The 12843-nt window shown below is 43.6% G+C and overlaps 3 annotated features.

Annotated features, from left to right (window-relative positions):
• Nucleotides 3361-4560: an enhancer, noted in NCBI's record as "P300/CBP strongly-dependent group 1 enhancer chr20:4115669-4116868 (GRCh37/hg19 assembly coordinates)". NCBI's record gives its function as "activates an origin of replication core promoter dependent on BRD2, BRD4, P300/CBP, MED14 and CDK7 cofactors, with strong dependence on P300/CBP, by STARR-seq in HCT116 cells {active_cell/tissue: HCT116}" and the evidence as "EXISTENCE:reporter gene assay evidence [ECO:0000049][PMID:35650434]".
• Nucleotides 3361-4668: a biological region, named in NCBI's record as "P300/CBP strongly-dependent group 1 enhancer GRCh37_chr20:4115669-4116868".
• Nucleotides 3869-4668: an enhancer, noted in NCBI's record as "H3K27ac-H3K4me1 hESC enhancer chr20:4115561-4116360 (GRCh37/hg19 assembly coordinates)". NCBI's record gives its function as "activates a minimal SCP1, AML or CMV promoter by ChIP-STARR-seq in naive H9 embryonic stem cells {active_cell/tissue: H9 hESC(naive)}" and the evidence as "EXISTENCE:reporter gene assay evidence [ECO:0000049][PMID:30033119]".

Below are 12843 nucleotides of genomic sequence, written 5' to 3'. Positions count from 1 at the left end.
TTAGACCTAAAACCACAAAAACCCTAGAAGAAAACCTAGGCAATACCATTCAGGACATAGGCATGGGCAAGGACTTCATGTCTAAAACATCAAAAGCAATGGCAACAAAAGCCAAAACTGACAAATAGGATCTAATTAAACTAAAGAGCTTCTGCACAGCAAAAGAAACTACCATCAGAGTGAACAGGCAACCTACAAAATGGGAGAAAATTTTTGCAATCTACTCATCTGACAAAGGGCTAATATCCAGGATCTACAAAGAACTCAAACAAATTTACAAGAAAAAAACAACCCCATCAAAAAGTGGGCGAAGGATATAAACAGACACTTCTCAAAAGAAGACATTTATGCAGCCAAGAGACACATGAAAAAATGCTCATCATCACTGGCCATCAGAGAAATGCAAATCAAAACCACAATGAGATACCATCTCACACCAGTTAGAATGGCGATCATTAAAAAGTCAGGAAACAACAGGTGCTGCAGAGGGTGTGGAGAAATAGGAACACTTTTACACTGTTGGTGGGACTGTAAACTAGTTCAACCATTGTGGAAGACAGTGTGGCGATTCCTTAAGAATCTAGAACTAGAAGTACCATTTGACCCAGCCATCCCATTACTGGGTATATACCCAGTGGATTATAAATCATGCTGCTATGAAGACACATGCACATGTATGTTTATTGTGGCACTATTCACAATAGCAAAGACTTGGAACCAACCCAAATGTCCATCAATGATAGACTGGATTAAGAAAATGTGGCACATATACACCATGGAATACTATGCAGCCATAAAAAAGGATGAGTTCATGTCCTTTGTAGGGACATGGATGAATCTGGAAACCATCATTCTCAGCAAACTATCGCAAGGACAAAAAACCAAACACTGCATGTACTCACTTATAGGTGGGAATTGAACAATAAGAACACATGGACACAGGAAGGGGAACATCACACACCGGGGCCTGTCATGGGGTGGGGGGAGGGGGGAGGGATAGCATTAGGAGATATACCTAATGTAAATGACGAGTTAATAGGTGCAGCACACCAACATGGCACATGTATACATATGTAACAAACCTGCACGTTGTGCACATGTACCCTAGAACTTAAAGTATAATAAAAAAAATAAAAAATAAAAAAATACAGTTTACCCAGTTACGTCTGAATTTCAGGCAGACAATGAATAATTTTTCAGTAGAAGCACTGGCCCAGCCACACAGCAATGAGTGGCAGATCTGGGTCCCCCGGACTATCTGGATTTTCACCATCATTCTTGGTGTGTAATCAGCCCAGGAGGCCAGATTCCTGGAGAGTTTCAGGTAACCTCAGTAATTCCACAAATCCCTTTAGAGCAGCCCAGGCCACACCTCTAGAATCGGCTTATGTGAGTTTTGTTTATTCCTTGATTTTTTCTTTGATAATCTTTGTATGCTTAGGCCCTTATCTCAGAGTTTAGGAGTCAGGTCATAGGCCAGTATCTTAAAATCAGAGCACCCATCTTTTTTTTCCTTTTTATTTTATTATCATTTTATTTATGTATTTATTTATTTTTTGAGACAGAGTTTCGCTCTTGTCTCCCAGGCTGGAGTGCAATGGTACTCTGCCTCTTGGGTTCAAGCAATTCTCCTGCAACCTCTGCCTCTTGGGTTCAAGTGATTCTCCTGCCTCAGCCTCCTGAGTAGCTGGAATTACAGGCACTCGCTACCACACCTGACTAATTTTTGTATTTTTGACAGAGACGGGGTTTCACCATGTTGGCTAGGCTGGTCTTGAACTCCTGATCTTAGGTGATCCACCCACCTCAGCCTTCCAAAGTGCTGGGATTACAGGTGTGAGCCACCACACCCGGCCTAATATTATTTTTTTAATCAGCTTCTTCAGATTTATTATTATTATTATTACTTTGAGACAGAGTTTCATTCTTGTTGCCCAGGCTAGAGTGCAATGGCACAATCTCGGCTCAGCACAACCTCCACCTCCTGGGTTCAAGCGATTCTTCTGCCTCAGCCTCCTGAGTAGCTGGGATTACAAGCATGCGCCACCATGCTCAGCTAATTTTTTTGTATTTTTAGTAGAGACAGGGTTTCTCCACGTTGGTCAGGCTGGTCTCAAACTCCTGACCTCAGGTGATCCTACTGCCTCAGCCTCCCCAAATGCTGGGATTACAGGCGTGAGTCACCGCGCGTGGCCAATTTTTTTATTTTTATAGAGATGGGGTCTTGCAATGTTGCTCAGGCTGGTCTCGAACTCCTGGCCTCAAGCTATCTTCCCGCCTTGGTCTCCCAAAGTGCTGGGGTTACAGGTGTGAGGCACCACACCTAGCCTTTCAAGCACTTTTTTTTTTGCCTCAGGTTCCTCCAACTTTCTACTTAAATGCCATCGCCTCCACCATCTGTCCTCTCACAGGCCTGCCCCCTTCCCCAGCCCATACCACCGGCCCCTGGAAACTTTGTCAGTTTCCAGCGTCACCCTGAACAGTAGCCACTGCACAGCATTTAGAGAAATCAAGAAAAGCAAAGGAGTGCATCTCAAATCACATGAATTAAGGAAGGGCCCGGTCAGGGGAGGTGGAACAGGGAGGCGGTGTGGTGAAGGGCACCCGTCCTGTAAGCCCTTTATCTTGTCTGGCTCTAACTCCTTCATGAGGAATCACAGCACCACCGGACAAGGTGCCTCCTAATGTCGCCCCTCCGGCATCTCCCTTTCTGCTTCTTACTCCTCCCCTGACCCTGTGAGCAGCTGCAGGCCGCGTGCTCAGCCTCAGTCAGATCTTTTCCGAGCCCTGAGCCATGCCAGGCAGGCTGGGGCATCCGTGTCAACAGCACAGGAGATGACCTCGGCCCAGCTGCCAATCCCACAGCATCCCAAACATCAACTCCAGTAGGGCAGCCTGACCTGGTCATGGCTATGTGTATGCCTGTGTGTGTGTCAGCGCCCTGGTTCCCACTCCACCCTGTGGGGGTCCTGGTGGATGGCCTCGCTGGCCACAACCCACTGGGTCAGCAACAAGTAAACAGGATGGACCGATGGCTGCTCCAAAAGCAGATGCCACTCACTATCTAAACAGGAAGGAAACGCTCAACCCATGGGAAGGCTGCCTCCATGCTCTCAGTGATGCAAGAGAGAGGGAAGGAGGAGAGAAAAGAGAAGGGGGAGGAGAGGAATGGAGAAGAGCAAAGGCAAAGAAGTAGTGAAGGAGTCAGGGAGAAGAAAGCAGGGCAAAATTGAGGACATCACAAAACCAAGGTCTTGGGCTACTGTTCCCACCAGGTGCCCTGCGCCCTCCAGGTCCTGCTCCTCGCCAAGCTTCCCTGCCTCCCACTTATCGCTCCGGCCCTGCCCCTGGCCAGCCCACCCCATATCTGACCTCCTGCCCCTCACCCCACCTTCCTCCACTCTCCTGCTATGCCCTGCCCCTGCTACAGCTTGTCCTAGAAATCCTCAAGGATAAACCCACCCCCAGGGTTCCCTTCCTTTTGCACAGAAAAGTTCCAGAGGGCTGGGCTTATCTTCTCTCCTTTGGGGCAGCTATGATATCAGAGGATACACAATTTCTCCATTTTCAAATAGGGACACTGAGCCCTCCATTGGTCCACCCAAGGCCGCCAGCAAATGAGGAACAAATCTAGCCTTTCAGCTTCTGTCCTCTTTCCTGATCCACTTATTGCTGATCTTTCTTGGTTTGCCTCCCCTGGTCTCGAAGGTAACTGTGCCTTGATGGGAGCATCCCAGAGCTGGTGACTCAGGTAGGGGGAGGCTGGGGCCGCCAACTTCCTGGGAGGAGCTGTTAGTTACCCATTAAATAGACCATCCTCTGAGTCACTGGAAGGACTGGGAAATCCTGGAGGTTGGGAGAGGCTGAGTCATCTTTGTCTTTATTTCAGCAGAGAAGAAAAAGGCCTCCCACAGAGAATGGCCAAGCCAGGTCACTGCTATTTCCCAACAGAAATGAAAACTGGAATTGAGCCATGTGGAAAGATGGACCAGGCCACAAGAAGGTCTTCGGGACAACCCTGAAAGAGGTGACCCAGGGAGACAGAGTCCAGGGTCCTTTCAAATCACTGCTGGCAGGAGCAAAGATCAAGATAGGTGAAACCTGATATTCAAATGCAGGCGTGGAAAAAGAATAGGTACATTGAAGTGTGTTGTTTGTCTTGATAAATAATCCTTCATTAGAAAGATTCAGAGTTCCTCTGAATGGCATTCCATGCTTGGAAATTTCCAGGGTTTACTTATAGTTCTGTCCCTGGCGAAGAGAGAAGACACCCCTGGAGCTCATACCACATGAACTTCTGCCTCCTCGAAGAACTGAAGCCATTCTCATCCAGACGTTTTGGGTCATCTGCATGCGCTGGGCTCCTTCGCCCTAGTTCAGTGCTTCTCAAACTTTCAGAATCACCTGGAGAGCTTGTGAAAAACAGATGGCTGAGCCCCGCCCGCGGAGTTTCGGATCCAGTAGGTTTGGGGTGGTGCCCCACGGTTTGCATTTCTTAGTTTCCTGGTGATGCCGATGCTGCTCGCCCATCAAGCTCACTTTGAGAATCACTGATGGAGTTAGACCCACCTACTACGCTCTCTGCACACACCCCAGAGAGCTCTCAGAGAGAGAGCGCTGCTGGGGAAATCACTCAACCCTGTCCTAGGGGCTGTCTGTCCCACCCTGCTGTCCCTTCTGAGACACGGGAGGCATCCTGCTCCTAGCAAAAGCCATTCACTCCACTGTGCCCCTCCTCCTTCAGTTCTCCCTCCTCTCCTGTTTCTTCCATCTCTCCCTGTCTCATGGACTGTTCCCATAAAAATACACACATTTTCCAGCCGCTCTCATCTAAACAAAACAAGGTTACCCTAACCTCCTTATCTGCCTCCAGCGACCACGCCCCTCCTCCGTGATATTCACAGCAAACCTTCTTCAAGGCTTGTGGGTCCTTCCCATCCCCAGCTCCTTCCTTCCCAGCCCACTGCAGGCCAGCTTCCTTTTCCAGCACCTCCCACGTGGCCAAATCCGATGGTCCCCACCTCGCTCAATCTCTCAGAAACATCCAGTCCACTGACCGCTGCCTCCCTCTGGGAAGGCTTTCTGCTGTAGACGTCTCGGACCCTACACTCTCCCGGTTTTCCTCCTGCCTCACGGGACAATGCTCCTCTGAATGTGGGAGGGCCCCTCTTGGTCCTGACTGCCTCCCCTTCCCCACACTCTCGCTAGCCCCATGGCTTCAACGTGGTGTCTGCTGAATCTACGTCTAGAGCCCTGGTCACTCGCTAGAGCTTGGATTTTTATCAAACTACCTCCTGAGCACCTCAAACTTAACATGGCCAAAATAAAATTCTTGATTTCTTCTGCCCAACATGTGTGTGTGTGCATGTAGTAAAAGATACAAAGCACAACATTTATCATTTTAATCTTTCGTGAGACAGGGTCTCGCTCTGTTGCCCAGGCTGGGGTGCACTGGCACAATCATAGCCATCCTCCTGCCTGGGCTCAAGCCATCCTCCTGTCTCAGCCTCCTGAATAGCTGGGACTACAGGTGTGTGCCACCATACCTGGCTTTATTTATTTATTTGTTTATTCATTTATTTATTTTTGTAGAGATAGGGTCTCCCCATATTGCCCAGGCTGGTCTCAAACTCTTGGCCTCAAGCTCCCTCCCAAAACACTGGGATTACAGGCATGAGCCACTGCGCCCAGCTCATGTTAACCATTTTTAAGTGTGTAGTTCAGTGGCATGCAGTGTATTCACAATTCGTGTGTCCATTACCACTATCCATTTCCAGAACTCTTTCACTAACCCAAGCTCAAATTCTGTGCTCTTTACACAATGACACCCCCCTGCCCCACCTCCAGCCCCTGGTGACCACTATTCTGCTTTCTGTCTCTATGAATCTATGGTGGGCACCTCACATACGCAGACTCACACGATATTTGTCCTTTGTGTCTGCCTGCCTGTCTTTTCCTCCCTCAAGTTCTATCATTCTTCAATTGCCTAAGAATACTCCCCAGCAAATAGAATTGGTGATTGGCAGGCTGCTCCAAGAAGGTTTCTGAGCTGTTGTTCTTCAGTATTATTATTATTTTTTCCTTTTTTAATGAGACAGGGTCTTGCTATGTTGCCCACACTGGTCTTGAACTCCTGGGCTCAAGCGATCCTCCTGCCTCCCAAAGTGCTAGGATTACAGGTGTGAGCCACCACACTCAGTCTCTTCAGTATTATTTTTTCAGGCATTTCTGTTTTGTTCCTTAAAATTTGTAAATACAGAAAATAAAATAAAAATAACCAAGAAAGACAAACACCATGCTCCTGCTTCTCAGATATGATTATTGTGAACATTATATGTCATTTGCCTTGTCATTCTTTTTTTGTAGACAGGCACAGTGGTTCATACCTGTAATCTCAGAGCTTTGGGAGGCCGAGGCAGGAGGATCGTTTGAGGCCAAGATTTCAAGGCTACAGTGAGCTATGATTGCACCACTGCACTCCAGCCTGGGTGACAGAGCAAGACTCGGTCTCAAAAAAAAAAAATCAATAAAATCAAAAAAGCAAATAAATACAAGAAATGAAACACTACAAGTCAAATTGTAGTCTCCTTTGGATCCCTACTGCCAGAGGCAACAACAGATAAATTAAGTATGTATCCATTTAATCGGCTTCTTTGGTTTAAACTTATATCATATTTCATCTAATTTGATCAATTTCATCAATTGTGAGACACACTTTTTTTTTTTTTTTTTAGATGGAGTCTTGCACTGTCGCCTGGCCTGGAGTGAAATGGTGCTATCTCGGCTCACTGCAACTTCTGCCTCCCGGGTTCAAGCGATTCTCCTGCCTCCACCTCCCGAGTAGCTGGGATTACAGGCGCCCGCCACTACACCTGGCTAACTTTTTGTATTTTTAGTAGAGATGGGGTTTCGCTATGTTGGCCAGGCTGGTCTTGAACTCCTGACCTCGTGATCCACCCACCTTGGCCTCCCAAAGTGCTGGGATTACAGGCATGAGCCACCACACCTAAGATGCACTATTATTTTAACCCCCACTTAAAAGGAAAAATATTGCCAATTAAATTCTGACACAATCCTTTATCATTCCGACACAATACTTTATAATCTTAGATTTTTATTTTATACTTATTGAAAGAAATCTTAAACATACATATTTTATCATACTTTTTTACCATACCATATTTTAGCAAATCTAAAATTCCATCTATTTTAAGATGCAATCTGATTTCAGAAAGATTTTTGGCCAGGTGCAGTGGCTCATACCTGTAATCCCAGCACTGTGGGAGACCCAGGCAGGCAGATACTTGAGCCAGGGAGTTCCAGACTAGCTTGGACAACATGACAAAACCCCATCTCTACAAAAAATAGAAAAATTAGCTGGGCGTGGTGGTGTGTGCCTGTAATCCCAACTACTCGAGAGGCTGAGGTGGGAGGATGGCCTGAGCCCAGAGAGGTCGAGGTTACAGTGAGCTGTGATTGTGCCATTGCACTCCAGCTTGGGCAACAAAGTGATACCCTGTCTCAGAAAAAAAGGAAGAAAGAATTTTTTTACTGTGTGTCTTAGAATCAATGAATTATGGCTTATCACTCTTGTGCATACATAAGAAGGAAATAAGCAAAATAAAATGGGTTAAGTATTCCTAAAACTTCACGTCTAAAGTTCAACCCTTCTATACCACTTTTTTTTAATTAGTAAATTTTTGTTTTAGCAGTTTTAGGTTTACAGAAAAAACTGAGTAAAAAGTACAGAGAGATGTCATATACTCCTTCACCTTCCTCCCAATCTTCCCTATTTTTAACATCTTGCATTAGTGTGGTACATTTGTTCCAGTTAATGAGCCCATATTGATGTATTATTATTAACTAAAGTCTCTACTGACATTAGGATTCACTCTTGGTATACATTGCATGAGTTTTTGACAAATGTATAATGATATGTATCCAACATTATGATATCGTACATATCATACAATTACATATCATATCATAATTACATATCATATCATAATTACATATCATAATTTCACTGCCCTAAAAACCTCCTATGTTCTACATATTCGTCCCTCCCTCCTCCAGAGCCCCTGGCAACCACTGATCTTTTTACCGTCTTCATAGAATATCCTAGGGTTGCAATCGTACAATAAGTAGCCTTTTCACATTGGCTTCTTCCACTTAACTGTAAATGGTTGAAGAGTCTTCAAATGGTCCTGAAATGTCAAAGTATGCCAGCGTCTGGTCATACTACCAAGTCACTATACTTTCTGGTGAGTTTATAGTACTTTTTAATAATTTTTAAAATTATTTTCCATACTAGAATGCAAACTTTTGGAGGTTCTTAGAGGTCATCTTGTATTTTCACATGAATAAGGAGAGGAAATTTGAGACAGAGGAGAGAAAGGTCAGATGTGTTCATCTGATCCAGTTCTTGGTAAAGTAGGTGGAAAAGTCGTCTGTTAAAAAGTCAGAGAGGGCTAGAGGAAGTGGTTCTGGAAATCTGACTCAACAACAAACAGCGTTTTTGGTGGGGGGAGGGGGTGTGGGTATGTGTTTGCAGGAGTGTGTAATAAACATCATTTACTTCCATGTTGAAGAGAGTGAGGTTATAAAATACCCTGAGGATGCCTCGATTTTTTTCTTCTTTTTTTAAAGGTATAATTTACATAGGGTAATGTTCACTCTTTCTAGTGTATACTTCTGCAAGTTTTGATGCATTCACGCAGTTATGTTATCACCACCAGAATCAATATATAAAAGAGTCGCATCACCCCCAAAATATTCCTCCATGCCCCTGTGTGATCACCTCTTCCCTTCCCCCAGCCTCTGAAAACAACTGACCTATTTTCCCTCCCTACAGTTTTGCCTCTTCCAAAATATACAGTATGTGTAGCCTTTTGAGTCTGGCTTCTTTCGCTTAGCTTAATGTATTTGAGATTCATTCATGCCAATGTGTATATTAGTTGTTCATATTTTATTGCTGAGTAGTATTCCTTTATATGGTTATACCACAGTTTATCCATTCACTAATTGAAGGACATTTGAGTTGTTTCCTCTTTGGAGAGATTATGACTGAAGCTGCCATATACATTTACATACAGATTTATGTGTGAACGTAAGTTTTGTTGTTTGTTTGTTTTTACAGATAGGGTCTTGCTGTCGCCCAGGTTAGAGTGCAGTGGCTATTCACAGATACAATCATAGTGCACTACAGCGTGTAACTCCTGGGCTCAAGCGATCCTCCTGCCTCAGCCTCCCAAGTAGCTAGAACTACAGGCATGCACCACTGCACCTGGCTCAGAACATAAGTTTTTATTTCACTTGGATAAATACTAGAATTTGGATTGCTGGGTCATATAGTAGGTGTATAGTAACATTTCATTGTAGTTTTAATTTACATTTCCATAAAAATTAATGATGTTGGACATTTTCTTTTTTGAAACAGAGTCTGGCTCTGTTGCCCAGGCCAGAGTGCAGTGGCACTATCTCAGCTTACTGCAACCTCTGCCTCCCAGGTTCGAGGGATTTTCCTGCCATAGCCTCCCAAGTAGCTGGGATTATAGGTGCACACTACCATGCCCAGCTAATTTTTGTATTTTTTTTTAGTAGAGACAAGGTTTCACCATGTTGGCCGGGCTGGTCTCAAACTCTTGATCTTAAGTGATCCACTGGCCTCGGCCTCCCAAAGTGCTGGGATTACAGGCAGGAGCCACCGTGCCCGGCCCAGCATTCTTTCATGTGCTTTATTGTCATCTGTATCTTTTTCAGTGAAGTGTCTGTTAAATCCTTTGCCCATTTTTATTGGGTTGTCTTCTTATCAGTGAATTTTGAGAGTTATTCTTATATTCCAGAGTTTTTAAAATAGAAGAACCTCAAAATGATTCTATCATGTGTTTCCTTTAAACCATATTTCTCTCTTAGGTTTCCATCACATATTTCAAAATAAAGGTAGTCATAGTCTTTCTGATGGCAGCAAATGTTTTAGCCTGAAATTACTGTTTTCTCAACCCCGCAAAGCATTTGGTGACAGTGGTTTTGTTTCCACTTCAGATGCTCCTTTCTGAAAATTGGGCAAGAGGCAGAGCCGTTAGAAAAGGCCGTGTCTAGGTCAGGCACGGTGACTCATCCCTGTAATCCAGCACTTTGGGAGGCCAAGGTGGGTGGATCACCTGAGGTCAGGAGTTCGAGACCCGCCTGACCAACATGGAGAAACCCCATCTCTACTAAAAATACAAAATTAGCTGGGCGTGGTGGTGCATGCCTATAATCCCAGCTACTCGGGATGCTGAGGCAAGAGAATCACTTGAACCTGGGAGGTGGAGGTTGCAGTGAGCTGAGATCGCGCCATTGCACTCCAGCCTGGGCAACAAAAGCAAAACTCCATCTCAAAAAAAAAAAAAAGAAGAAGAAGAAGTCGTGTCTGGTGCTACAAAGTAAATATGATGGAAAAACATATTTGCCTTTATTTTTTCTCTTTATCTCTTGTTTGCATCTGAGACTTTCTATCTGAGTTTATTTTATTTCTATCTAAAGGACTTGCTGAACAATCTTTTGTAACATTCTGCTGGGGGTAAACCCATATTTTAGATGTTTTGTTTTATGAACATGCCTTTTTTCACCTCTTTCTTAAAAGATGTTTTAGCTGGGCATAAAATTCTATGAATTTTTTTCCCAACACATTGAAAATATTATTCCCAGTTTCTCCTCATTTCCACTGCCATCTAACTAAAAGTAATCTGACATTTCTTCTCTAGGGGCTACTCCTAAGAATTGGTGAAATATAAGTCAAACAAAATTTGATGAAATTATAAGCAGAAATTGACAAATCCATTATCTTGGTGTAAATTTTTAGCACACTTCTTTCAATAACTGAGAACTAAGTAGATTAAATATTTTTAAGGAATACAGGTGATTTGAACAATTGTGTTAGTAAGCTTGATCTAAAAGGCATATATAGAACCTTGCACCCAGCAAAACAAACAAAAAAAAGCATTATTCTTCTCAAGTGCATACACAATATTTCCAAAAATTGACCACATAATAGACCATAGAGCAATCAATAGCTAACCAATAGCAAAGAATGAGTATCATAAATGTTCTCTTGGCTGGGCGCGGTGGCTCATGCCTATAATCTCAGCACTTTGGGAGGCAGAGGCGGACGGATCACAAGGTCAGGAGATTGAGACCATCCTGGCTAACACAGTGAAACCCCGTCTCTATTAAAAATACAAAAAATTAGCCAGGCGTGGTGGGACGTGCCTGTAATCCCAGCTACTCGGGAGGCTGAGGCAGGAGAATCGCTTGAACCTGGGAGGCGGAGGTTGCAGTGAGCCGAGATTGTGCCATTGCACTCCAGCCCAGGTGACAGAGCGAGACTCCGTCTCAAAAAATAAATAAATATAAATAAATAAGTAAATAAAAGTTCTCTTGATGCAAATAAATTGATTTATAAATCTCACAAAAAATTACTAAGAAACACATTTATAAATTACTTTCAAACACATTTCTAAGTGTTACAGATAAAATAATAAATCTATAATAAATAACGAAATAGTACAAATATGAAATTATAAAAATACTATATCTTTTTTTTCTTTGAGACATTATAGTATTATAGTATTATATAAATACTATATCTTTTTTCTTTCTTTTTTCTTTGTTGCCAAGGCTGGTGTCAAACTCCTGGGCTAGAGCAATCCTCCTGCCTCGACCTCCCAAAGTGCTCGGATTATAGTAGCTGTGAGCCACTGTAGTCAGCCAAAATACTATATCTTATTGGATGTAATAGCTGCTATTGGTGCCCCAACCATATCCCCTATAACAGGTCAATGTGCCCATCCTCTGGCTGCTGTGAGTGTTGCCTGCCAGTAGCTCCGTGACTGCTCTTTTCCATAGAATTGCCCTCAGTTGATGAGAGCCACTTCACCTGGACTTTATGTGCCAGCCACCACTTCCACAGTGGTCTGCAGCCAATCACTGACTCAAATAGGGATACAAAATCCAGCCCACTTGCCTCAAGGAAGGACCAGTTCCACGGCCATTCATACTCCAGAATCTTGGGCTCAAGCCAAGGCTAGACTCCAGCTGAACACACATCCTTGCTTAACTCCTTCCTCTTCTTCATCCATCTCCCCTCTGCTCCCTTATTCTGAGTGCCCTCCTTAAATACATCACACATACAAGAATACCTATAGCAGGTGCTGCCTCTAGGAAGGAGGATGTAAGACTGATGTATAACCATGCATGGTAATGTTAAAAAAAAAAGAAAGGCTGAAAATTATTGAGTGATGTAGCCAACATTAAATATGAAAGAATGAATAATAGAACAAATCCAAAGAAAGTAGAAAAAATAAAACAATAAGATTTAGATATTAAATACCTAAATTATTAAATAAAATGGCTGGGCAAGGTGGCTCGTGCCTGTAATCTCAGCACTTTGGGAGGCCAAGGCAGGAGGATCACTTGAGGTTCGAGACCAGCCTTGGCAACATGGAGAAACCTTGTCTCTACTAAAAATACAAATATTAGCCGGGTGTGGTGCACGCATCTACAATCTCAGCTACTTGGGAGCCTGAGGCAGGAGAATCCCTTGAACCCAGGAGGCGGAGGTTGCTGTGAGGTGAGATTGGGCCACTGCACTCCAGATTGAGTGACAGAGCGACATCTCTAAAATAAAGAAATATCTACGAAACATATAAGAAAGAAGGTACAACTTAACAATAAGGAAAGTGAAAAAGCAATGCATAATGGTGAAAAAAAACAGAAATTTAAACTATAAACCATTATAAATTACAAATAAATTTTTACCACTAAACTTAAAAACTTAGATGAAAATGGGTAACTCCCTGG

Source organism: Homo sapiens, chromosome 20 (genome assembly GCF_000001405.40).
Source record: "Homo sapiens chromosome 20, GRCh38.p14 Primary Assembly".
In the NCBI taxonomy this organism is placed as follows: domain Eukaryota; kingdom Metazoa; phylum Chordata; class Mammalia; order Primates; family Hominidae; genus Homo; species Homo sapiens.
The sequence above is the reverse complement of the archived record's forward strand: the minus strand, read 5'-3'. Positions and strand labels throughout refer to the sequence as shown.